At 44.1% G+C, this 24,191-nt stretch overlaps 1 long non-coding RNA gene across 2 annotated transcripts in view; it reads left to right on the forward strand.

Moving 5' to 3' along the window:
* The window catches only part of LOC105369617 (uncharacterized), a 257,798-nt gene that overhangs the window by 24,264 nt on the left and 209,343 nt on the right, over positions 1 to 24,191 (forward strand). For both annotated transcript variants that reach the window (NR_188065.1, NR_188066.1), the window contains exons 2-3: positions 14,097 to 14,175; positions 23,597 to 23,669. This is a non-coding gene — a long non-coding RNA (uncharacterized LOC105369617). The remainder of the gene's footprint in view (positions 1 to 14,096; positions 14,176 to 23,596; positions 23,670 to 24,191) is intronic.

Here is a 24,191-nt window from a genome sequence, read left to right on the forward strand (position 1 = left end):
AATTTGTTTTTGTTTTATTGAATGTAGAATTACACAGTATTTTATTGAATGTAGAATTAAACAGTATGCACTCTTTTGTCTTGTTTCTTTCACTCAGCAAAATTACTTTGTAACTCATCTGTGTCTTTAAGTGTATCACTAGTTCATTCCTTTTCATTGCTGAGTAGTATTCCATTATATGGATATTCTACAGTTTATCAATTTGTCTGTTGCTGGTCATTCAGAATGTCTCCAGTTTGGGAGTATTAAAAATAAAGCTGCTAAAAATATTCATGTACAGTCTCTGTATGGAGACTGATCTATCTATCTGTCTACCCACCTACCTATTCATATATATGTATACACACACACACACACACACAGAGGCACACACACAGACACATGTATATATGTACATTCCTTTTTCTTGAGTAAATATTTTGGAGTGAAATGGCTATATCATATGGTAGTGTATGTTCAAGTTTTTTTTTTTTAAGTGCTAAAAGATTCTCCAAAGTGATTATACCATTTTGCATTCCCATCTCCTGTGTATGGTATGAGAGTGCTGTATTTCCACAGTCTCACCAATGTTACCTGTGGTAGTTCTTTCTTTTTTTTTTTTTCTTTTTTTGAGACGGAGTCTCCCTCTATCGCCTAGGCTGGAGTGCAGTGGCATGATCTTGGCTCACTGCAAGCTCCACCTCCCGGGTTCACGCCATTCTCCTGCCTCAGCTTCCCAAGTAGCTGGGACTACAGGCGCCCGCCACTAGCCCGGCTAATTTTTTGTATTTTTAGTAGAGACGGGGTTTCACCTTGTTAGCCAGGATGGTCTCTATTTCCTGACCTCGTGATCCGCCTGCCTTGGCCTCCCAAAGTGCTGGGATTACAGGCGTGAGCCACCGCACCCGGCCCGTTCTTTCTTAATTTTGCCATTCCAGTGGGTATGTAGTGGCATATTATTGCGGTTTTCATTTGATTTGCATTTGCCTGATGGCTAATGATATTGAGCAGCTTTTCATGTGTTTATATTCCATCCATAGATCTCCTCTGGTGAAGTATGTGTTCACATATTTTTTTCCACTTATTATTAGGTTGTTTGTTTTCTTATTATTGAGTTTTGAGAGTACTTCATAATATTCTGAATTCAAGTCCTTTATAAGATATGTGTTTGACAAATATTTTCCCCCAACCTGTAACTGTCTCTTCATTTTCTTAATATTGTCTTTTGAAGAAATTTAATTCATCCATTTGTTCTTTTGTGAATCCTGCTTTTGATATCATATCTAAGGAATCTTTGCCCAGCTCAAGATCACAAAGGTTTTCTCTTATGTTTTCTTCCAGAATTTTTATAGTTTTAAATTTTACACTTAGTTATGGCATGCTTCCTGAATTAATTTTTGTTTATGATGTATGGTATGGATTGACGTTAATTTTATTTTTGCTTTGGATATCCAATTGTTTCTGCACCATTTGTTGAAGAGACGATACTTTCTCCAGTGAATTGTCTTTGCACCTTTGTTGCAAATCAGTTGCTTGCCTATGTGTGGGTCTATCTCCGGACTTTCTGCTCTGTTCCACTGATCTATTTGCTTATCTTTACACCATTATGACACTCTCTTGATTATGGCTGCTTAATAGAAAATAAGACTTGAAATCAGGTAGTGTGAGAAGATGCTTCCCATGACTTCACATAGATTTGAGATCTCAGCATAACTCCCATAGTATAAATATGACATTTCCTCATGATACACAAGGGTAAATGAAGATAGAGGGGCAGGTCAGCTGAAGTAGAAGCAACAGTCAACGACCATGAGGGCAGCCTGGAATCTTTTTGCTGACCAATCTCCCCTTTGGCTAGCATTGAACAACCAGTTCCAAATCCTTGCTCTCTCTGAGGAGCTGACTGCCACCCTTCAGTCAACACATTCCTAATTACACTTCAGCCATCTAGTTGCAACGGCTTTCCAGGCTGCCTTCCTGAATCATCCTGGTAGCCTTGAGTATCCCCTAACGTCTGTCCACATTTCTAGGTTGTCTTTGGGTTTCCTTAGCTTAGGGATAATGGTCTTTCGTTTTGATGTTTCTTCTTAATTTCATTCTTAAAGCTCCAGGGATGCCCACATGTCACTCCCAAATCTGAACACAAGATAATGTTAGAATGTCTAATCAGTTACTGAGGATCAGTAACTTTTATTTTAGATGTTCCACAAAGTGATAAGGTTTCAACAGTCCTTAGACATTTTAGTTCCTGGGGGAACCACACTAGCATCTCATATGCTCACTTAAGAGCAGAGCATCTAAGACTGGAACATCAATTAGTCATTTATTAGTGATGTTTGAGCACCTGCTGTACGCCATGCCTTAAGCTTGTGCTATGAGAATGAAGAAATTGATACAATGTAGTCTCTGTTCTCAAGATGCTTCAAATCTAATATATTCCACACCTTCATGGCCCAAGGCCACTTAAAGATTCTAGCTATGGATCAATATAATCTAGATTTCAGAGCCCAAATCTATAATTTCTCCTCTGGTAAGATTGTTGCCATCACTGGGAAGGAGTAGGAGGCATTTTCTGTGTCAAGTCAGGCATTCTAATTCAAGAATAGTAGGATTTGGTTGACAAAGACAAGCTCAGAAAAAGAATAAAGCACCTGGACAGGACCAGATGGCGGAAGCAGAGGCCAAGCCCTTGAAGGAGTCACATAAGGTCAGTGAACATTTATCAGAAAAGAACAGAGACAGAATAGGGAGTAAATGGATGAAGACTTGTCTTTACCTCTTGACTGGGGAAGGTGTATGTGCGGGAGAGAGTGGGTGAAACTGAATTTGAGCCTCAAGGTTAAAAGTTCAGTTGGTATTACCTTTCCCACTGGGAGGGCTCACTGAGGCAGGGAGAGTCCAGACATGTCCCAAAGGAATGAAATGAATCATTGTGCAGTTGCCTATCTTCTATGATAAATGTAGGTTTTGCACACCTCATTAAGAATATTTCACAAAAGGTAGAGACACAAGGTCCCTGCCAAATAAAGCAGTTCTTTAAAAGCCATTGCCCAGCCAAGGTGCATCATGAGGGTAGACTGGAGATTGAAAGGGGATGTCTCTGGTCCTGGACTGGGAAGGGGAAGGTGCGGTGTTCCATGCTCCAGGACAATGGAAGAGCCTTCCGACCACACTCTGGTTGGGGGTGCTGGGGAGTTAGGAGATGGCATCAGGCTTCCATAACGATGGAGACCTGGAAATTTATCTGCAGCCGGGAGAAGCTATCCAAGGCACAGAGCAAGGGGAGTGGGCTAACCTAACTGCAGTGGAGATTTGGGAGTTGCCTAGGTCCCAAAGGGAAACAAATGCTGCCGGGAGGCCAATAGGAAGGAGTGGGACGGGTGGGAGTAGGGTGGCCTCACCTGTGGGCTCCATGGCTTGTAGCCAAGGTGGTGTGATTGCCAGGGCCCGGGAAGACCTCCTGCCTGAAATAGTATTTTCCACCCCTCAACTATAGCCTAATATTCTTTTAAAGTGGGGCACAGACTTCACTTCATAATTAGAACTAAGGCTTATAATCAAAGTATCCCTAGGAGAGCTGAGTTCACTGGATGTTTTCTTAAGAGTAGTGTTGGAGGAAAGCACAGTTATACAATTCTGATGGAAGAGGGAAAAATGCACAGGAAAAGGGGATGGGGGTCTGGGAGGCAGATTCCAGGGTTCTCAGTGGCCAGCCTGATGTCATGACAGTTAAGGCTGCCAGATTTGGCCAAACAAACACCAGGATGCTCAGTTCGATTTATCTGAAATTGAAACTTAATGGGGGACCTGTTTTTTATCTGTCAACCCCAGGCCAGTGGGACGTTCACTGTCATTCCCCTACTGAACCCCTCCACAATGCTTGCCTTGTGGATTCCCTGAGCCCTCACTTGGGTATGTGAGGACAGCTGGGAAGAGGCTGCAGAATGGAGGCAACAGAACCACAATACATAGGGAAGAAGATACCTCACTGAGACTTAGAAATGTAAACTTCTTAAGGACCCACACTCTTGTCATTTTTCTCTGCATTCTAAGTACCTTGCATAATGCCTAGTACAAAGCAGGTTGCTTGATACAGGTATGTTGAAATTCTTTTTAAGAGGCAATAATTAGTAGTAACAGTCACAAACATGTACATAATGCATATTCCACCTGGGCTCTCTTCTTTTTTTTTTTTTTTTTTTTTAACTTTTGTTTTAAGATCCAGGGTACATGTGCAGATTTGTTAAACGTCTGCCATGTAAACATCTGCCATGGAGGTTTGCTGCACAGATCAACCCATCATCCAGGAATTAAGCCCAGCATCCATTAGCTATTCTTCCTGGTGCTCTCCCTCCCTTCGCCCTCTGCACTACCCCCAGCCCGCCAACAAGCTGTGTGTGTTGTTCCCCCCATGTGTCCATGTGTTTAAAATAGTTTCTTCTAATTCTGTAAACAATATCAATGACAGTTTAATGGGAATCTATAAATTACTTTGGGCAGTATGGCCATTTTTACTATATTGATTCTTCCTATCCATGAGCATGGAATGTTTTCCCATTTGTTTGTGTCCTCTCTGATTTCTTTAATCAAGGTTTGTATTTCTCCTTGAAGAGGTCCTTCGCTTCCCTTGTTAGCTGTATTCTTAGGTGTTTTATTCTCTTTGTAGAAATTGTGAATGGGAGTTGATTTATGGTTTGGCTCTCTGCTTGCAACCAGGCTGTCTTCTAAGTGCTTTAGTGAAAAGCTGAGATGACGCCTCTGAACGACGTCGTACAAGAGACCTAGAAAGGACTTGTGCTAGTAGAAGAAGGAACTCTTGATATTGCTTTTTACTTAAGTGGGTTCCCTAATTATTAGTGTGTAATCCTTCTTCTTAGGAGTGGGTAGGCTATCCATGCCTCATGCTAGTCTTCCATTCAACTCCTCCTCCTCCAAAAACCAAAAGCACAGACAAAGTCAGTTACATTATAGATTCTCCCCTACCTTCCCTCTGCAGCTGTTCCCACCTCCAGACTTCCCCGACACCCAACGCCCCACTCAGCAGACCCACCCCACCATCCAGAGTGCAAACCCATTACACTGAGTGCAGAGCCACCCATTGTTAAGGGAGGAAATCATTTTTGAAATAAGTTCGTAATGCTTTTCCTAAATATAGATGATATGGGGTTCCAGAGGAATTGGATTATTCAGGTTCTTCTTGCCTTCCTTCACACAGAGAGTGCCCCAAGCTTGGCTGTGTTCTCATAGAAACAGGCAAACAGAGAAGGCAAAGGATTCAATAATGAACCATGAGCATCTCTAGCCTGGCATGTACTGGCTTTAGATTTGCCAAACAGAACACTTGGAAAGCCTGGCTCCACTACATCTATCAAAGTTGGGCCAGGGAAGCCCCCAGACAATTTGAAGGTTGGAGAAAGTAGGTTTGGTACAACTGCTGCTACTTTTCTTTTTTTCACACGATTTGGTTTTTTAGACAGAATCTCAAATGGCCCTCTTCACCCCGCCACCGTCATCCCACCCCCACCCGACTGTAATCTCCATGTGGAGAGAAGTGGCCACACATGGTTCCGATTCATTTGCGTTTAACTCATCAAAATATTGTTTAGTCAAAATCCCTCTCTGTCCAAGGAGTCTTTTATGAGCTGACGGGATAAGCCTGGCTTAAGTCTGTTGTTGTAATTGGGGAGTTCTGTTTTTTTTTTTTCTTTTCTTTGAACTGAGGAGCTGCTAGTTCCAAGCCAGCCCTAACCCAAAGCAGGCTGGAAAAGCTGTATTTGTTATTTACTTGCTGGATTGGTTCTTTAATTCTGGAATCCAGTCAGCTCCGGCACATGCCCTAGTTGGTGAAAAGTATTCTCTAAGTTGTTTTCAAGGCATCATTCTGGTCCAGTCAGCAAGACTGTGAATCCACGAGCTCTTCCTGCAAGGGTTACCTAGACTCTTGTTTCTGCTTCACTTTTGCTGATGCTATCCTAGACCAGGCCAGGGTCTTTCCTCCCTGTGGAACTCAATGGATTCCTGACCCACGTTGTTCCTCTCCTGTAGAATTCACTGGCTTCTGGACATACACAAATCCTCATGCTGCAGAGTAAGCTTCCTATGCCCTTGCTCTGACCATGCCACTGTCCTTCACATACCCCACGTGGCACTTCTTAAACAGGCATGCATCTATGATTGAGGAATACATGGTTGAGTCCCAGGGACTGAGCAAAGTCAGAGACAAACATGGAACATTTCCCTGAAAACATCAACCTACTCAAAAATCGAGGAGAGTGCTGCTGTCTTATCTTTCAAAGCCCTACAGAAATATGGAGTTGACTACAAAATTATAAATTCTGAAAATAAAACACGTGTCTTCAGGGAAATTTTAAGCTTGACACTACTTTGGAGTAAATCCCTAGGTCCCCAGGAGTGATCTATTTATTGCCTGCCACCATTAGTGTATGTGGGTAAAAGTTTGAGAAGGCCTGGAGTAGAGTAGCCCAAGCCCTCAATTTGTCTTTCAAGGCCCAGTGCCTTCCTTCCCCCAAACCCTGTCCGATCTGTCACCTACATGTACCTTATTCTCTAGATAAATGGGGCAATTCATCATTCTCCAACACACTCCCCCCTTAGACATTTGTTTTTTTATAACCAGAATGCCTTTAAATTTCCCTGTCTTTGCCCAACTGAAATCCAGATCTAATGCCAGATCCATTTTTCTTTCCATTATAAATGCATTATTTTTGTACTTCAAAGTCCTAGTCATGGTGCTAGGATTTCAAGGAATACTGCTGGAGAGATGGTTGATTGAACACAATTCCTGAGCCCTTGAGCTATACAGAAAGCAATAGAACATTTCTCTGCTTAGAAAGCAGGAAACCAGGACAGGATGGTGCTAAGTGGAGACTGTAAAGCACTTTCTTAGCACTACTTTTTTCTTCAACTTCAATAGGTACAAAGTTTTGTTTCTAGAGTGAGGAAGCAAAGATTGGGGTGTGGACAGGGACTAAAAGGAGGGGCACAGCTCTTTCTAGATGGAGCTCATGATGCAAAAACTAGGGAGAAAGATGGATGAAATGAACTGCAAATTGGAAATTTGCAAACATGTTTATTTCCTCCAACACAAAATATATTTTTTAAATTTGGGAATTTCAAATAAAAATCTGGAATTCATGATACTGTTGGAAAACCATATTGACTGGGGCATCTGCCTGGCCTCCCTGCCTGTCTCAGAGCCATCTGGAGATACGGCACGAACTCTGTTACGCTGCGGTTCCCACCACTGCTCCACATAGGCAGACACAGTGGCCTCCCATGTGTGCATTTTGATTTGCTGCTGGGCTGCAGAGGATGGACAGAAACAGTTACAAATTCCAGCTTCGGGTCCACAGGTAAACATTCTGAGGGGATGCCAGAGATTGCATAGTGATTGGTTAGAGACAAAGGCAAAAGCCTTGTTGGAGGAGGGTATTGGAAGAGCCCTTTTTGCACTAAGGCATTCAGTCTCTTTATTTTAGAACTTCTCTCTGCAAAAAGCATCACACGCATATGGTGTCGTCCAAGGAAGAGTCCCCAGGCTCTAAGCTGCATCTCGGCACTAGCATATCCGCAGTGTTCTCCCTGCTTCATCTCTGGTGCCCAACCTCTGTTCCCTTCAAAGCCCCTTTCTTGTCTCCCCTCACTTGATTTTCCCCAGTGTCATATTAGAGGTTTTCCCACTTCTGAGTGCTCAGAATCAGGCATTTTGCTCAATCAATTTCAAGGACGATTAGAAAAGTTCATCCAAGATCAAACGTCTTCTCTTTCTTTTTTTTTAAAAAAAGTCTGTAATGTTGAAGGGGGAACAAAGCCAAGTGTCCTCCTTCCCTGGGCTTGGGAATGGGGGGCTTGCTTCTGCCTCCCCTATTTACCCCCAACTCGAATGAGGCCTGTGAAAAGGGAGCTGCTCCTTCCCCAAGCTTCTCATTTCACCTGTAACAGTGGGGAGACACGCAGTGGCTGATAAGGATCCTCCAGGGAATTTTCTGGCTGTTAGACCAGGCCCAAGCCCTTCATGAACAGGCCATTCCCAGGGCCTCGGATTTCAGGATGAGGTGATTAGCAAGGGGGTTTCAGACCCGGCAGAGCCCTCTCCTGGCTGTGCATCTGCAGAACTAAGGAGCTGCTGTGTCTGCAGCTGCTGGGAGCTGCAGCTTGCTCTGTCTCTGAGGGTCAGCGAGGGCGTGACAGAGGGTAACAGGCAGAACTGTTAGCAGACTGGCATTGCTTCTCAGTCTCAGTCTGTAGTGAAACTGAAGAGAAAGCTCTTCTGTGCTGGCTTCAAAGATGACAAGCAGAAGAATTCCACCTCTCTTTAGTATTCTGAAATTTTTTCCATGCTCTCTTCTTCCCACACACAAAATCCTAGAATTGGAGAATTGCAATACACTAATATACTTTAAAAGCCTTTGGAGTACAGTTCTCCTCATTTTACATATAGGGAAACAGTCATGAAAAGAGGGAGAGTGGCTTGCCACAGACCACACATTAAAGAGTGTCAGGGTGGGGATAAAAAGCTTTCTTACTTCTTACCCCTGAGAACCATCCCATTGATTCCCAACATCTGGTCATGAGCACAGAATTTTCATTATTTTTGGCATATCTGTAAACACCTGTGCTATTACTTAATACTTTTTCTTTAGCCAGATCCATTTTTTACTTAAATGCAGTTATTTTAAAAGGAAACTATGTCACTAATGCCTATGGAAAAGCAGCATTACTTGCCTTAAATATTGGAGACCAAAAGGCAAATGTGATTAATGGAAAATGACATTGTGGAATGAGCTGGGTACTGTAGTCTGTTGAGGGTTCTTGTGTCAAGACCTATTTGGGGGATTACAGTAGGAGCTAAGAGTTTGAAAAGTGTTAACAAGATCCTGGCACCCGACCGACACATTCTCCTTGAAGGGAAGGAGGAGAATCGAAATGGAACATCCCTGCTAAAAACCACCAGTGCTCCTCCATGCACCAGCACAGTTTTCTCTGGATACCCATGGTACATGTTCTTCACTTTGGGGTCTCTGCCTTGGATCATGGTGTCTTCAGAAGGATGGTGGGCTCTTTGCCTTGCTGTTCTCCCTTCTCAAGGGTTAGGCTGCACAGATGCCGAAGGTAGACACAATAGTCCTTACACATTTCAAAAAATATGGACAATGTTTCCTACGGAGGAACAAATTTTTCTGTCAGATGGTGAAATTTCTCACAATATTCTGGTTGAGAACATCCTTGAGAGGGAAGTAGGGTAAGGGAGAGTGATTAAGGACATTTTGGGGTCAAGAGATAGCTAAGTGATTTTCTGTACACTAGATATCCTCCACCTCCCCTTTATCCACACCCCCGTATGCCACAGTGACACACATCATTCTCAGTGATGATGGAAATGAACAGGATTCCCTGCTCATGGGAATAGCAAACAATCGCTCTGCATGTGGTCTGAGGCTCAGGAGTCCAGGTGAAATCAAGTCTGCCCAGTCCTGAGTTGTCCATCCTTTCACCACCTCCCCTCTTCTGTATTATCACCACAAGGAAAGAACCGTCAGCAAATTGTTCCTAAGCACCTGGCACTGTGCTAGGTGTTTGCACCTGCACTTACAGTGGCTTTGTGTGGTTGAGACAGGGTTCCTTTATATTAAAGGACAGCAAGGACATACATGCCACATACAAGATGATGGGGGTCCCAGGAACATTCTGGGAGCCTGAGGAGGGAGTGAGGCCAGAAGCTCAATGCAGCAGGGAAGCTTTGTGGAGGAGGTAGGATTTTTGCAGAACTTCCTTCTCCCTATTTCCCCTGGTCTTCCTCCTTCCCCTCTTGCCCTTGTCCGGTTCGCACTGACAGCGGCCGGCGGGAGGGTTGGCTCTCACTCCTGGATGTGGGCTGAACAAGCATCCCGGAAGCCTGCGGTGGTGGGAGGCTGGCCAGGTGGACAGCACCCACGCTGCTGCTTGTGGGATCCTCGAAGACAGATTTACCAGTTGCCAAATTCTCCTTGTAGCCCACTCTCCTCCCTGAGGCCCCACACAGCAATTCCTGAGGCCTGGTGAGGGGAGGAGAGGGCTCAGAAAAGGCAGGTGAAACAGAATCACACACAAACTACAGAGACTCTGCAGGACCATCTCCAGCAGATTCCACCTCTGCCTCTACAACACCCCTCAGGCCAGAGGGAGAACACAGGCTGGCAGATCTGCAGTTTTCACTCCGCTGTGGCTCCTCCTTGCTCTACATCATTGTCTTGGAGGGTTAGGGAGCATCACAGGAAGCCTGTAGGGACAGCCCAGGCAATGGGGCCAAGGAAGCAGGTACCTTTCAAAAAGGCCAAAAGACGACAAAGAAAACTGTTGGGTGCAGGCAGGTGGGGCTGCCTCAACCCATGCCCAGCATGGGCTCTGTGAGCTGAGACCTCAGGGGTCAGGGTCACCCACTGCCAACTACACAACAAGTAAAGCGAATGAGGCCAGGGCACTGAAAATGCCTGAGGTTGTCTGTGCCTCCCAGAACCTACCTGTTGGCTCGCAAACCGTTGGGGTGTGATCTCACTGTACAAATGAGGAAATGCAGTAGTAAGCCAAGGGGACTTAGCCCAGTGTGACACAAAACATGAATGGTAAAAATCAAAAGTTGAACCTACTTCTCCCCCTTCTACATCCAGTTTGCCCAAATGCCTTTGGTAATTTGGGGTAAGGGGTGCAGTGGTGGGGAGACTGTTCAGATTGAAATAACAGTGAAATATTTCCAAGTGATATAGAATGGCCTGGGCCAGACTGAGCCACCTCTGGCTGTTCTGTGGTTGCTTGGGTCATGGGTTACACACAAGGTCTGGCTGTTGTGACCTCCGTCCCATGTGCCCCGAAGGTGGGATTCTTGTTCCACCACTGTGAACACTGCCTGCAAAGCTGGGGGCTCCTGGCCCTACTGCCCGTGGTCCCTGGTGGGCCATCTGAAGGCCATCCCACTGGGATCTTCCCTGTATTTACCGGCAAGCCCAGCTCTGAGCTGGAATGTGGACACTCAGAGGATGGGCTGGGGGAACAGTCAGAAGATGACATCTGATACTCAGCAGGACTCAGGGAGAAATCACCAAGCTGGGTGATAAAGTGGATGTAGTTTGCTTGTTGGCACGAGTGGAACCCAGGGCTAGGCATCTGGAACTCCCCACACCTTGAATCCCCTACCGACCTGTAAACAGTAGGTAGCAAACTCATTGGCACTGATAATCTGAGTGTGGTTTAGCAGCCCATGAGGTGGTTTAATAGAAAGATCACCAGCAGGGGAGGCAGGAGACCTGGACCTCTGTCCCAGCTCTGCCAGCAGCTTTTTTGCCAACAGTGACCTTGGACAAGTCACTTGCTCTCTCTGGGTATCTTTATTTCATGTATCATTAAAGGATGGGACTGGATAAAATCCATAGTCTCTCCCAGTTTTGGGGAAAACGTCTCACACGCCACTAATGCAGAAGATTCTATTGATCATACGCTGTGGGAGCTTGCTGGTATCAGAAGTGGGCACTGTTGGCCACTGAGCCTCAGTTTTCTCAGCTGCTGCATTTACCAGTTTTGTATGAAGATCTCTATTCCAGACTTGGAAGGAAAATGACAGAATGAAGTAAGGTGGGTGGAGCAGAGGGAAAAGATAAAGAGGGAAAATGGTGAAAATACAAAAGTAGATACAGTGTTGAAGAGACAGGAAAAGTGAAAAAACTCAAGAAAAGGGTAGTCAGCTATGTCTGTGAAGGAATCACAGAACATTGACTATCAACGGAATACACAAGCCTGTCTCTTTTGTTTCTCTGCCGTTCAGTGCGGCTGCATCTGCTCTATGCAAGTTTGATGGTTGTCAGTATGATAGATAAACATTAACTGAAGAAATTCCTCTGTGACCAGCACTGTACTTGGGAAATATAGGGGTTCCCAGGAGTTCATCTAGGTTTTGATAAGCATAAGCTCACATGATTGCAGAAAAAGAATGTAAAAACTCTACAAGCAGAATTAAGTAAAAAACATATTTATTTTGCACGATAAAAAAAATCACAACAAAGTAAACATTTTAAAAAGCTGACATCTACAACAAACATTCCCAAATTCAGGAAAATAATGACATTTTTATTAATTAACTTCCAACACAGTGCTTTTTTCTCTACATTCTCTTCAATCACCTCCTCCTATGGCAACAACTTTATAAAACCATTTTTTTGTATAGAGAGAGGAAAGATAATTCAGTCTTTCCTTAATTGAAATTTGTTTTTTTAAGAGCAATAATCAGGATGCACAAAACATTTGATTTCACACAACAAAAGGACTCACTGTTTGTAGTACTGTTAAGTTTAGGCCCTACAAATAGAGGAATTTTAATCCGTTTTGGTTTTGTCTGACTCCTGTCATAAAGGAAAAATGTATGTTGTACTTATAATGATATATTTGCATTGTCAAATGTATTTCTTATGGGAAGGAATTTCCATTTTGATGAGGAATCAATGAGAACAGACCTCTTGGAATGCAACTGCCCATATCTGAGCATCAGAATAGTCTTTTCCACAGACTAGCTTTTGTTCCTTCAATTCTAACTTTGCTTCTCACCCACTCCCCACAGTCTTCAGGCGAAGAAGCCACAGGATGTGTGCATATCACAATCTCACCTCTGGTCCTACAATTTTGGCCTCAGCATGAGGAGAATCACACAGTGTGTAGGGCACATTTTCCTGGAAGCCATTCTTCCACTGGAGTAGCTAGGAACCCTGTAACTGACTAAAAGCACCCTTAGCTCTGTCCTAAAAATGTCTAGGGCTACTCCATTGCCCCCTCATATGAAGGGGAGTGCGAAGGAGGGAAAGTTGGGGTTAGAGGGATGCAATATCTTAACAAATTGTAATGAAAATATTTTACTCCCACAAAATTTTCAAACCCATGTCACCATGTGAGAACATTTTTAGGACCTCTCCCTGGAAGGGCCTTGGAAGGGGCCAGTGCAATAAGGGTCCTTGAACTTGAGGCTTCATTAGCTTCTTGAAAGCTCTGCCTCTGGGGTTTGGAGACACCTGTGAGACTTGTTTTCTCTCCTCATGTTCTGCAGTTGTCCTTAGTCACTCATTCTGCTCCTAACAACAATCAATAATGCATGTACAACACTCCAGCTTCATCTCTCCCATCAAACTTGAACTCATTCCTTTGGACAAGGCTCTATTCTTCAAGAAGTCTGGTTTGTGATGGTCATTTACATGAACTTTACTGAGAAAACAGGTACATGAAGTGACTATAAGGGCAAATTCACTGCTAAAAGTGTATTGTAAATTGATAAACTAAAAATTTGGCTTTAATTACATTTATTTTATAGATTTGAATATATCCTAAATGTCCAACAATAGAGAACTGGTTAATTATGCCAATGTTCCACTAGCATATTTTCCAGTTATTTAGTGTAATTTTTGTGGACATGTATTGTTGGCCCGAGAAGCTTTCCCTTATAAGTTAAATAAATTTTCATAAAACATATTGTAAAGGCATAATCTCACCTTTAAATTTAAAAATATATATGTGTATCGATCTATCTGTGACTCTGTCTATATCTATATCTAAATTGCTGTAGGAAAAATTAAGAATAGAAAAATGTCTGGAAGGTTCTAGATCTTGATATGAGTAAGAGTAGTTGCTCTGGAAAGATAATAGTGAAATTTTCTTGCTTATTATTTTATTTTTCTATAATGATTACATCGTTGTTTCTCTTTTGAAGAGTCTGTTGCCTAGGCTAGAGTGCAGTGGCTCAATCACAACTCGCTGCAACCTCGATCTCCCAGTCTCAAATGATCTGCCCACTTCAGCCTCCTGAGTAGCTTGAGACTACAGGTGTTCATCACTACGCCCAGGACAATTAAAAAAAAAATTTGTAGGGATGGGGTCTCTCTATGTTTTCCAGGCTGGTCTTGAACTCCTGGACTCAAGCGATCTTCCTGCCTTGGCATCCCACAGTTGAGATTACAGATGTGAGCTACTGCATCCAGCCTAATGACTATGTTCCTATTATATTGTAATAATAAAACTATAGATAGAATTTTTTAAGTGTATAGTATTTTTAAAAACTCAAGTAGCTTCTCTCTTTCCTTACTTAGCCAGGTGCAAGTTGATAAAAGAATTCTGGAAATTGAAGGCCAAGGAAGAGTGACTCAAAAATAAGAAGCAGGCTGAAAAGTAAGTGTGTGTATGAGAGGGGGAGAGAGACAAAGAGAGGGGGAGAGAATGTGTTTGTGGGGAGCATATATTCATCTGTGGGCTGTGCAAGTAGATATTCTGCATTCATTCCTAACAACTAGTTTAGCTCTGCCTGTCACATCAGTGAATCCTGCTGAAATGTCTGCAGCTACCATTTTGATTCAGTGTCTCAGTCCATTTTACAAGCCAGAGTCTTAGGAGGGGAGTCAAAAAGATCCCATCAGGATTTGATGGGGCACATTTCTCCATGTGAAAGTAGTTGCCTTTCTCTTTGCCCACTCTGAGGGTCTTTGGAGATAGGATGAAGAGCAGAGTCACCCTCACTCTCCTGACGTCCTACATGAAATCCTATGAAAGGAGGTGCTGCTAGATTTGAGATGCCAAAATGAAAAAGAGGAAAATGCAAATAAATGACTTCCACTTCCCCTCCCATCATCCTGACCCTAAACTCAAACCCCTTCTTTAAATGACTTCCACTTCCCCTCCCATCATCCTGACCCTAAACTCAAACCCCTTCTTGAGCACCTTTGCCAGCCCAGGGAAGCCATTCAGTGTCCACTTTCTAAGAATGTCTTGAAGCCCACTCCCCACCACACACATACACAACAATCCCCTCCCACATCCAGAAGATCCACTCCTGGAGGGCAAGTCCAGTTCAGAGGACAGGGCTATGACACACAATGGGAAGCCCACCCCTCCCCTTCCCCAGGTGTCTATGGTTTCTGGCAGGCTCTCTCCAGAAAGGAAAAACGGAAGGTGTCTCCATCTGGAGTCCTTCCCCAGCCCTTCTTGTACCAGGCTGTGTTCTCCCACAGTGAGCACGCAGGACTTGGGCTGAGGCTCTCCTCACAGGTCTGCCTGATGTGTTGACCAGGACGTGTTCAACTCTGTGGGTTTCCCAGTCACTGGAAGCCAGTAGGGTTCTGCCTTTGACAGTGCTGTTGGTGGGAATAGGAGAAATAATCCGAGTCTGGCTGTGCTCAGGGCTTTCTCAGTCACCCAGGGAGCCTTCAAATCATGGTGGTCCCTCAATCAAGTGGGGTGAGATTATTTTACCTCCTCTAGCCCATCAGCACATGTGCATTAATTCACGAAATAGTTGTTGAGTCTCTGTTCTACCCCAGGTACTGTACTTGGCCCTGGAGAAACAGCAGAAAACAACATAGTAGAGACTGTTCTGTGTTCCAAGGCTCCCCATTTGCTCTGTATGGATTGGAGGACACATGCGTAATGCTTGTTCCCCAAGAACCCTGTTAGTTCAAGGTCACCAGGTTCTCCCAGTCACCACCACCCTTGCTGGGGGAAGTAAGGTATGGTGATGGATAGGGGACCTTTTTTCTATCTTCATCACACTCCTTGCCTCTCCTCCACTGTCCTACTGCCCTGCAGAGTATATGAAGAAATCCCAGGACATTTAGCCAAGATTCCTCTCCCAAAGTGGGCAGCTACCCATAGCTACACACATAATGCCACAATTATCCATTCTTGTGGGCTGACCTAAGTGGATCTTTTGTGAAGTCCTCAGGTCAGAGAAGATGAGTTGGGTTGAAGTTTTAAGGGGATACTTGTATTATTCCTTTGGGTAGATTCTTGATCTCATCCTTGCTTTCTCCCAGATCACGTGAATCTCTCCCCATCAACTTTCAGTTTATTTCAGAAATTCCTCCTCCTCTGAGGAGCGCTCTGGGACTAACATTCCAGAAGAAGCTATACTCTGACTTCACTTATTGAGGTTCACCTCCTGAGCCACATTCTGCCTCTGCAGGCTAAGTAGGGGCTCAGAGGGAGAGACTGGCACTACAGCTATCTCCTTCATATTGGACTGTTCTCGCAGCAATTACAAATCACATCGAGAATGACATTTATCGGGATATGACACATCAGTTCCAAATTTCAAGAGGAAAATCTCAATACATTTAAAGTATTATTATTTTGTGAAAGAGAAGCAACCCTCATCTTCACTTTCCTTGAAGCTGAGGTCTGTCTGTGGTCAATGACAGAAGAGTGAAAGTCTTATATTGTCTGGTCACGCAGTGGTTTAGGGCCCTCAGTTCAAGTCAGAGTGGGGGCAATCCACATCTCACAGGGTGATTTGTAGAGCAAATGTCTATCTGACATCTTAGAGTACAATTTTTAGAAGCTGCTGTTCTTTTTGCAATGAATAAGCAGGACTCTGTTTTACCTTTTTGATTTATAAAATATTTCTTCTTTGGTTCATTGTAAAGACATTGGAGAATTCCACAAAGAATATATGCCAAAACATTTGCCACAATCCCCCCACCTGAGATAATGCTTGCTGTGTTCATGCACAAGCACAGCAACTCTTTCCTCTACACACGTGCAGACATGTTAATTAATGGTAGGTCAAGGTCAAATCCCTCCCTTCACAGTTAAATTCACTGGCAACAGGATGGTTAGAACGGCATAGTAACCCGCCATGTGGTTATACTATAACCGAATTAACCATTCCCCCATTGTTGCTGACTTAGGGTGGCTTCCAAAGTTTCAATATTGCCAATGTTATAAATATGACCACAACAACCTGAAGAACAGATCTTTATGAACAGCTTTGATTGTTTCCTTCAAATTCATTCCTAGAAGTAAAATGACTCGGTCAAAGGGAATAGACATCTTTACAGCTTTGCACACATCTTGTGAAGTTCCAAGAGGCCCTCATTTACTGTGTGTGCGGCAGCGGGGAGGGAGTGAGATACAGTCAGCTCTGGAGCACTCCAGGAGGAAGGTGGGGTGGAGAGACACTGATATTGACCACCCTTTCCTACCAGATGGCCAGTGTCAAATAGGGCTCTTGAGCTCAATGGAAGGTGGAAGCAGGGAAGAAATTAGCCGAGCTGCCCACTAAATCCCTCAAGAAAGACAGGGCTCTGGTAATGGCATGAGGCTTGGAGCTCAGACATTCTGAGCATTAGAAACTCCCAATCCCTGTGCTTGAACCACCACCAAGACACTGGGCAAGATCTGGAAAAATGTGGCCTGAGGGGGCTGCTGCACACATTACCACCTGTTAAATCCCAACAACCAGAGGTTCAGGGAGACTCTTCCCTGGTCCTGAGAAGCCAGAGGAACATCAGAGTCTTCTCGGAATTGCCTTGGCTTATTTTTCCCTGGTCACTCTCCCTCCGTGGATGCCACTCTAAGGATCAGCTCAGGGAAGGCATCGCTCTCTCTATTCCTCTCAAATTTCAGGATCTCTTTGTATCTATTTAATTCATTTATCCAACAACATATATTGGACAGGGTCTGTTTTATACCAGGTACTGTGCAAAACCTAAGGGTTAGAACGACTAATAAGAAATAATTAAGAGTCTATTGATAAATATCAACATGTCGGTTGATTTGCAGATCACTAAAATATAGTTGGTAATTTCTGTTTCTTTCACAAAAATTCTTGGAGTAATACCTGGCAAGTTGTGGGCAGTTGAAAAATGTTTGATGACTGAATCATGCATTCAGTGGGATGTGTTCGTTAAGTACAATCATCTAGGGGAACTTCACAAAAGCTTTATTTCAAGGTATAATTTATGTATTATAAAATGCATTAAGTGTATAATTAAATAGTTTTTAGTATATTTACAGAGCAGTGCAGCTATCACTGCAATTTACTCTTAGGACTTTCCATCACCCCCAAAAGAAACCTCCTTCCCATTTGTAGTTACTCCCATCCCCCACTGCCCCCAGTCTTGGGCTATCACTAAGCTACTTTCTATCTCTATAGATTTGCCTACTCTGAATATTTCATGTAAGTGGAACTCTACAGTAGGCAGTGTGTTGTGTCTGGCATTTCCCCTGATCATAATATTTTTGAAGTTCTTCTGTGCTATAGCATGTATTAGTATTTTATTCCTTTTAATTGTGAATAACATCCTGTTGTGTAAATATACCACATTTTGTTCATTTGTTGATGGATAATTGGGTAGTTTCCAGTTTTTGGCTAATCTAAATAATGCTGCTATGAACATTCATGTACAGATCTTTGTGCGGACATATGTTTTCATTTCTCTTGGAATTGCTGGGTCATACAGGAATACTTTTTGATCAAAGACTTAAGGAGACATTTACGGAAGGAGGACTTTGCTTGGCTAGATGAAACTAAAATATATCTAAGGTTCATAATCAGATACACACGTTGTGGCTGTCCCTGGCCCTTTCCTAATGGAGGCAAAGCCATGAGATTGTATCTCCCTTTTTCCATACTTCTCTTCAGATAAGAGATGTTGTATATGCTATTTTAATACCTATTTTTTCACTTAGTATATTCTGATGATTTTTCTGTTTTTACATTCTTTATATCTAATGGTTGTACATTCTTCAACAGTGATGATGAGTTTTAATTTATTTAAATTATTATCATTGGACATATTTATTTGTTCCCAAATATTTTCGCAGTTGTTAAAAAATGTGCAGTGAGCATGGCTAAATTAATTTTACCCATAATAGTCAGAATTTTCAGAGAATATGTGAAAATATTTTTTCAAAGGATGTTTTGAGTGCTTTGGTTGATAATGACAATTGCTCTTTAGAAAGTTTAACATAGAATATACTTCTGCCAGTTGTGTATGTGAGCAATTAGCCCCCACATTTCCAATAAAACTGGGTCTTATCCTAAGAAGAAGCAAATAAAAACCAAAATGTACCCATAGGCAGGAAATGGCATCTTTTGGAATTAAGCTATATTCTTTGATAACTCTGATATCAGCAGATGCTGATAACTTTTCATATAATCATGAACTATTTAGATTTTCTTTTCTGGGCACCCACACCCACACTATTCTAGGGAAGCGTTAGGATCTTCCTTCCCATTACTCCCCAACCTGCTGCTCTGCCCAGCAGGCAAAACTAGAAACCCCTTTCCTTTACTAGCACCTTGGGTAGAGGGCTTGTGGAATGACAGGTGGATGCTGCTCCACCTGCCACTACAGTAAGACCATGAGGCCCACTCCCAGGGCATAGGAAATATCTTCTGCTGCCCACAGACTGCCTGGTACCCACTGAGGTTGACTCAACTGACATCTAAACCGCAAAGGTCCCAACTCGGTTGGATCGAGTTTTATGACAGGATGAAAGTCAGGGCTTTGGAGCCCATGTTTTGGCACTAGGCTCCTTTATCGGAAGGGCCAGCATGTGGGTGGGGATGACCAACTGTTCTTCTTTCCCCTTGGAAGCAGGGCAAAGGAAGCGAGATCAAATTATAACAGAAGGGATGCCAGTTAGACAAGAGAAAGAACTTATTGCCAAGGAAGCTTGGGGAGTGCTGCACCTATGGAAATCTTTGATGAATGTGAGCTCTCTGTGGTTTAATTGGATCCCTGCCTGGGGGTAGAGGATTAGCCTTGGCCTGGGCCTAAGGTGATAAGCTGTGGCTTAGCTCATGAGCACCCAGCTTCCTGCATGCCTACTACCACCTGGCAGCTTGAGGATCTTTCTTGGGACTATGACTTGAGAGATACAGCACACTTTGGGTCTCTCCACCCCATCTTAGCATAAACAATGTAATCTGAGATTAGGTTTCTAGAAAATAAACAGCAAAGGAGAAGTGAAGTTACATGATTCAAGGCTAATTATTTGTCAGGCTCTGGGCTAGGTGCTTTAAAGACTATCTAAAATGTTTATAATGGCAGATAAGGAAACTGAGGCACAAAAAAGTATGACTGGCCCAGGATCACACATTAAGTTACACCGCTGCTGTCCACACCCAGACATGTTTTGGCTCCAGTGTTCCTCTTCACAGAACCGTATTACTGTGGAAGAAACTTCACTGCAGGAGGGGAGGGTATTCAGGAGTGTAAACTATGGACCATGGACAACCACCCAACAATTGTCTTGACCATCTTAGTCTTCCCGGAGTCTTAAGTCCATTTTTCTGATCCAGGTGGAGCAAACTTTGCATGGGTTTCCTGGGTCTGGACTTTTTTCTGGTCTCCTTGTCTTTTGGTTTCTCAGCCCTAATCATTCTCTGTTCTAGGTGACTTTCGGCGCATTAGTAAATTTCTCTGTGGTTCCATTTCTTCTTCTGTAAGATGGGGACAAAAATATAGCATGTTTCTCACAGTTTGGTTATAAAGATTAAATAATTAATAGGTTAAAGCACTTAAAATAATATCTGGAATAATGCATTCCAAAATGTTAGTTTTTATTACTTAGGTAGAAATCAAAATTTTTACATAGAGGAGAAAAACAGTATGCTTCAATTGGTATTGCCTTTCTACTTTCCTTCCATCTTTCTTTCCTCCCCGTCTTCCTTCCTTCTTTCCTTTTGTCCCTCACTAAACATTTATTGAAATTCCACTACATGCCAGGAATTATGCTAGCCATCGAAATATGTGCTTTGATTTTTTAAAAATATTCTAACCCTGGTAGCTATCTATTCTTTCCTGCTAGAGACAGAGAGGGCTAGTATACCAGCGTGAACTGTTAGCAGCTCTTTTGCTAGTATCTGAAGACATCAAGAGAGAAGCATTAACTGGAATGTTAGAAATAGTTTAAAAAGTATAGGTACTAGCAAGCCAAGCTTCTGGTGTCTTCATAGATGAGAAAACTGAGCTCTGAGGTGATATATAACTTCAAAATGTCCTATAGCCAGTTAACCAGAGAGCCAAGACTCAAACCTGTGGTTTCTGGGTGTCTCACAATCTCTTTCCATAAATGCTCCTATTTTTTCTACCCAACAGCCTGGACAGAGTGCTTAGGGAGTGAGTCACTGATAGGCCACATATTGTCTCAGCATCTTGTGTGGTGTGTTGCATGCCAAATGTTTCTGCTCAGCTTCCCTTCTCTTCCCATCTGCAAAATTGTATTCACTTATACTGTGGGCAAGGGTGGGGGATGGGAGGTGCACTGAACCTAGAACTGACAAAAGTCAAACTCCAACCAGCACATCTGGCTTGCAGGCGTTCCCCACAGCCTCAGAGATGCGGCCTCGCATGGGAATGGAGACTTTTGTCCTGCGGCCTTAGCAGTCCTCTGAGACTCTGGCCATCTGGGACTGGTGACAAAGTCCTGGTCTCTGACCTCAGCTGCCCATGGGCTACTTCTCCCTGTCCCATCACTCTTTCTGGTCTGCTGACTTGCTGGCAAACCTGAAGCCATTTTCCTTGGAATCCGAGCGAAGGTTACAGACTGTCCGTAACGCATAGTCTTCAATTTTCCCAAGGACTGAAGCAAGGATGTAAAAAGACCTCTTTCCTCACACTTAGCCCTGTTTTGGAATCGTGGCCCATTGGATTCTTATAGCCTGCCCATTTAAATAACAAAGTGAGCTCCTGGCATGGATACAGACTAAGAAGCCGAGGCCCTGGCCTGGCTCTGACACCTATGCACTGTGGGGCCCTCAACAAATCATCCACTTCTCTAGGTCTCAGTCCTCATTTGCAATAATGAGATACTTCACCCATCCTTCCCAGCTTGCAATACTGTGACATTTGTCTTTTCAGCATTCAACACATCGCCAGGTATCTATTAACCACCAACCAGGTGTCCAGTACTCTGCTAGTGGATATAAGCAGAGCTCTCCAGCTTTTTTTTTTTTTTTTTTTTTCATAGAATGGGACACATACAAAGTGATTTGCAAAATTCACCAGAATAAATTAATGAGGCCACCTGCAGCCAGAGGTCATGTCCTGATGCTCCAGACCCCACTCAGTGGTCCTGAGAACCGAGGACATCAGGGTCTTGGGACATCATAAAAAGGACTGCAGCACCCTGGTCAGGCAGTGCGGCTGAAGGATCCCGAGTTTCTCTACGCTGCCTCTGTCAGCCAGGAGTTTACACTGTAGCCAGGGAAGTATGATGCCCAAAACAGTGTTGAACAACTAACATGGCACTTGCATAAGAGTTACAGTAATTCAAGGATGGGGAGATCAGTGTGGTGAAGCAGTCTGGGCAGGCTTCCTGGAGGAATGGCCCCAGCACAGAAGTGGTTGACTTGGATTTCATCAGCATCAAGGCAGGAGCAGAGAGTGACAGAGGACAGACCCCTATGGGGAGAATCGGGAGCTCTGAATTCCTGTTCTGACTCCACCTCTGAATCATTCTGCCTCCGCTCTCTGTGTGTACCTCTCCTCTTTTATTCACCAATGGCAGCTGCGGGATCTGCTGAGCTAACCTCAAAGGCTGCCATGAAATTCAAACGAGACAGTGTATCTAAAGACATTCATCGGGAACTAAGTACCACATTAATATCAGGGACAATCATTAGCCGTGGATCAGGAAAGCTAATGCAAACCTTATGATCATAGGAGTTTTCCCTGCTGAGTTCATCGATGGATGGCAAGTGCTTAGGACAGCGCCTGGCTCACAGTGGAAACTTTACAAATTGTTATTGAATGAAAGGGAAAGGGAGGACTTGACCAGCTTCTCATCCTGGGCAAGATGGGGATGCAGGAGCTGGTGTGGCCTAGACAAAACTAGATTCTTCAGGGACGATCTCCCTGGGTGCATGGCCTCGGTCCAGCTGGGAGTCCTTTGCTTCCCTTGGTAACTGCCTGCCTCAGCCACTGCCTCTCTGGGGAACCCGGGGCTTTCATCTCCCCCCTACCTGCCGGAAGCCAGAGTGCTGACCCTGACCGGGAGGCCGATTTTAAAGAGCAGGCTCCTAAAGTGGCCTCCTTTTCTCAGGTGATTTATATGATCCAGCGTGCATGCTGAAGGAGAGCATTTAACTTGGATACAATTTAGAATTTTGTTTTTCTCTGAGTTTTTGATTCTGTTCTTTCCTCCTTTGGCTTGAGATTGCAATAAAAGGCAAGATTACCTGGAATAAATACCAGACTGGCTGTATGTTTGGTGAGAGACTGAAGCCGATGAGATTGGAGCCAAGAATGCAAGAGAGACAGCGTGCATGAGAACGAGGTGTCTGCCGGTCCTGCCTCTTCCAGGCGGTCTGTCCCCTTCCCCATCTGGCTGTTCTTCTCTGGGTGCCTCAGTCTCCACCTCCCTGCCCCGTCTTCTCCTACGCCTCCTGCTCAATCCTCAACAGAGATGGGGAATGTGTCCCTCCCGCTTAGGATGCTGTTCACCGCAGAACAGGATTCTGCTTTTTGGTTGCCCAGGCAGGCTGTCCAAATAGCCACCAAGACTATGCAGCAATTTAATCTCTTTCCAGGAACTCCAGGCCTGTAGTTTATGGTAAAAATGGCTTGTTCCTGTCTAGGAACACCGACTCTCACTTCAGAGGGCGACTCAGACTTCCTTAGACTCTACGGAAGCTCTAGGAAGTCTTAATGGGAAGGGGGATTTAAAAAATGTCAGGAGGGGCATGTGGGCTTCTCAAGGGAAGAGAGCAGAGGCAATATTAGACATTTCATAACATTTGGACACCTACTCTTCCTGTTCTTCATATTTTCTTGCAGCTTTGAAAGGTGTTATTGTCTCCATTTTACAGATGAGATGAGGAGACCGAGGCTCGGAGAGGCTTATGCATTTGCCCAAGACTCTACAACTCCACAACTTAACAGGTACCTCTAGAACTGTCTGACTCCAAAGCCTCTGTTCTTTCTACTTTTCCAGGAGTAGGGTAGAGAAAGGTCTGGAGTCCACAGAGTTTCGTGTGCTATTTATGATACCCTAAGGTGGCACCAGAACATCGTGATTGGGTCTGGGTGTTGCCCCAGGGACTCAAGCACCCTTTCCGATGGCCTCCCACCAAACCCAGGGCCTCACTCGGATTCTGAACCCTCAACCTTGAGGAAAATGCAGAATCGGAAGGCGGAGGGGGAGGGGGGGTTCCGAGGAGAGTCCGTGAAAATGGCAAAAAGATTGATAAAAATAAAAGGCCGGGCGCGGTGGCTCACGCCTGTAATCCCAGCACTTTGGGAGGCCGAGGCGGGCAGATCACGAGATCAGGAGATCGAGACCATCCTGGCTAACACGGTGAAACCCTGTCTCTGCTAAAAATACAAAAAAATTAGCCGGGCGCGGTGGCGGGCGCCTGTAGTCCCAGCTATTCGGGAGGCTGAGGCAGCAGAATGGCGTGAACC

The sequence above is a fragment of the Homo sapiens genome, chromosome 12, assembly GCF_000001405.40.
Source record: "Homo sapiens chromosome 12, GRCh38.p14 Primary Assembly".
Taxonomy (NCBI): Eukaryota; Metazoa; Chordata; class Mammalia; order Primates; family Hominidae; genus Homo; species Homo sapiens.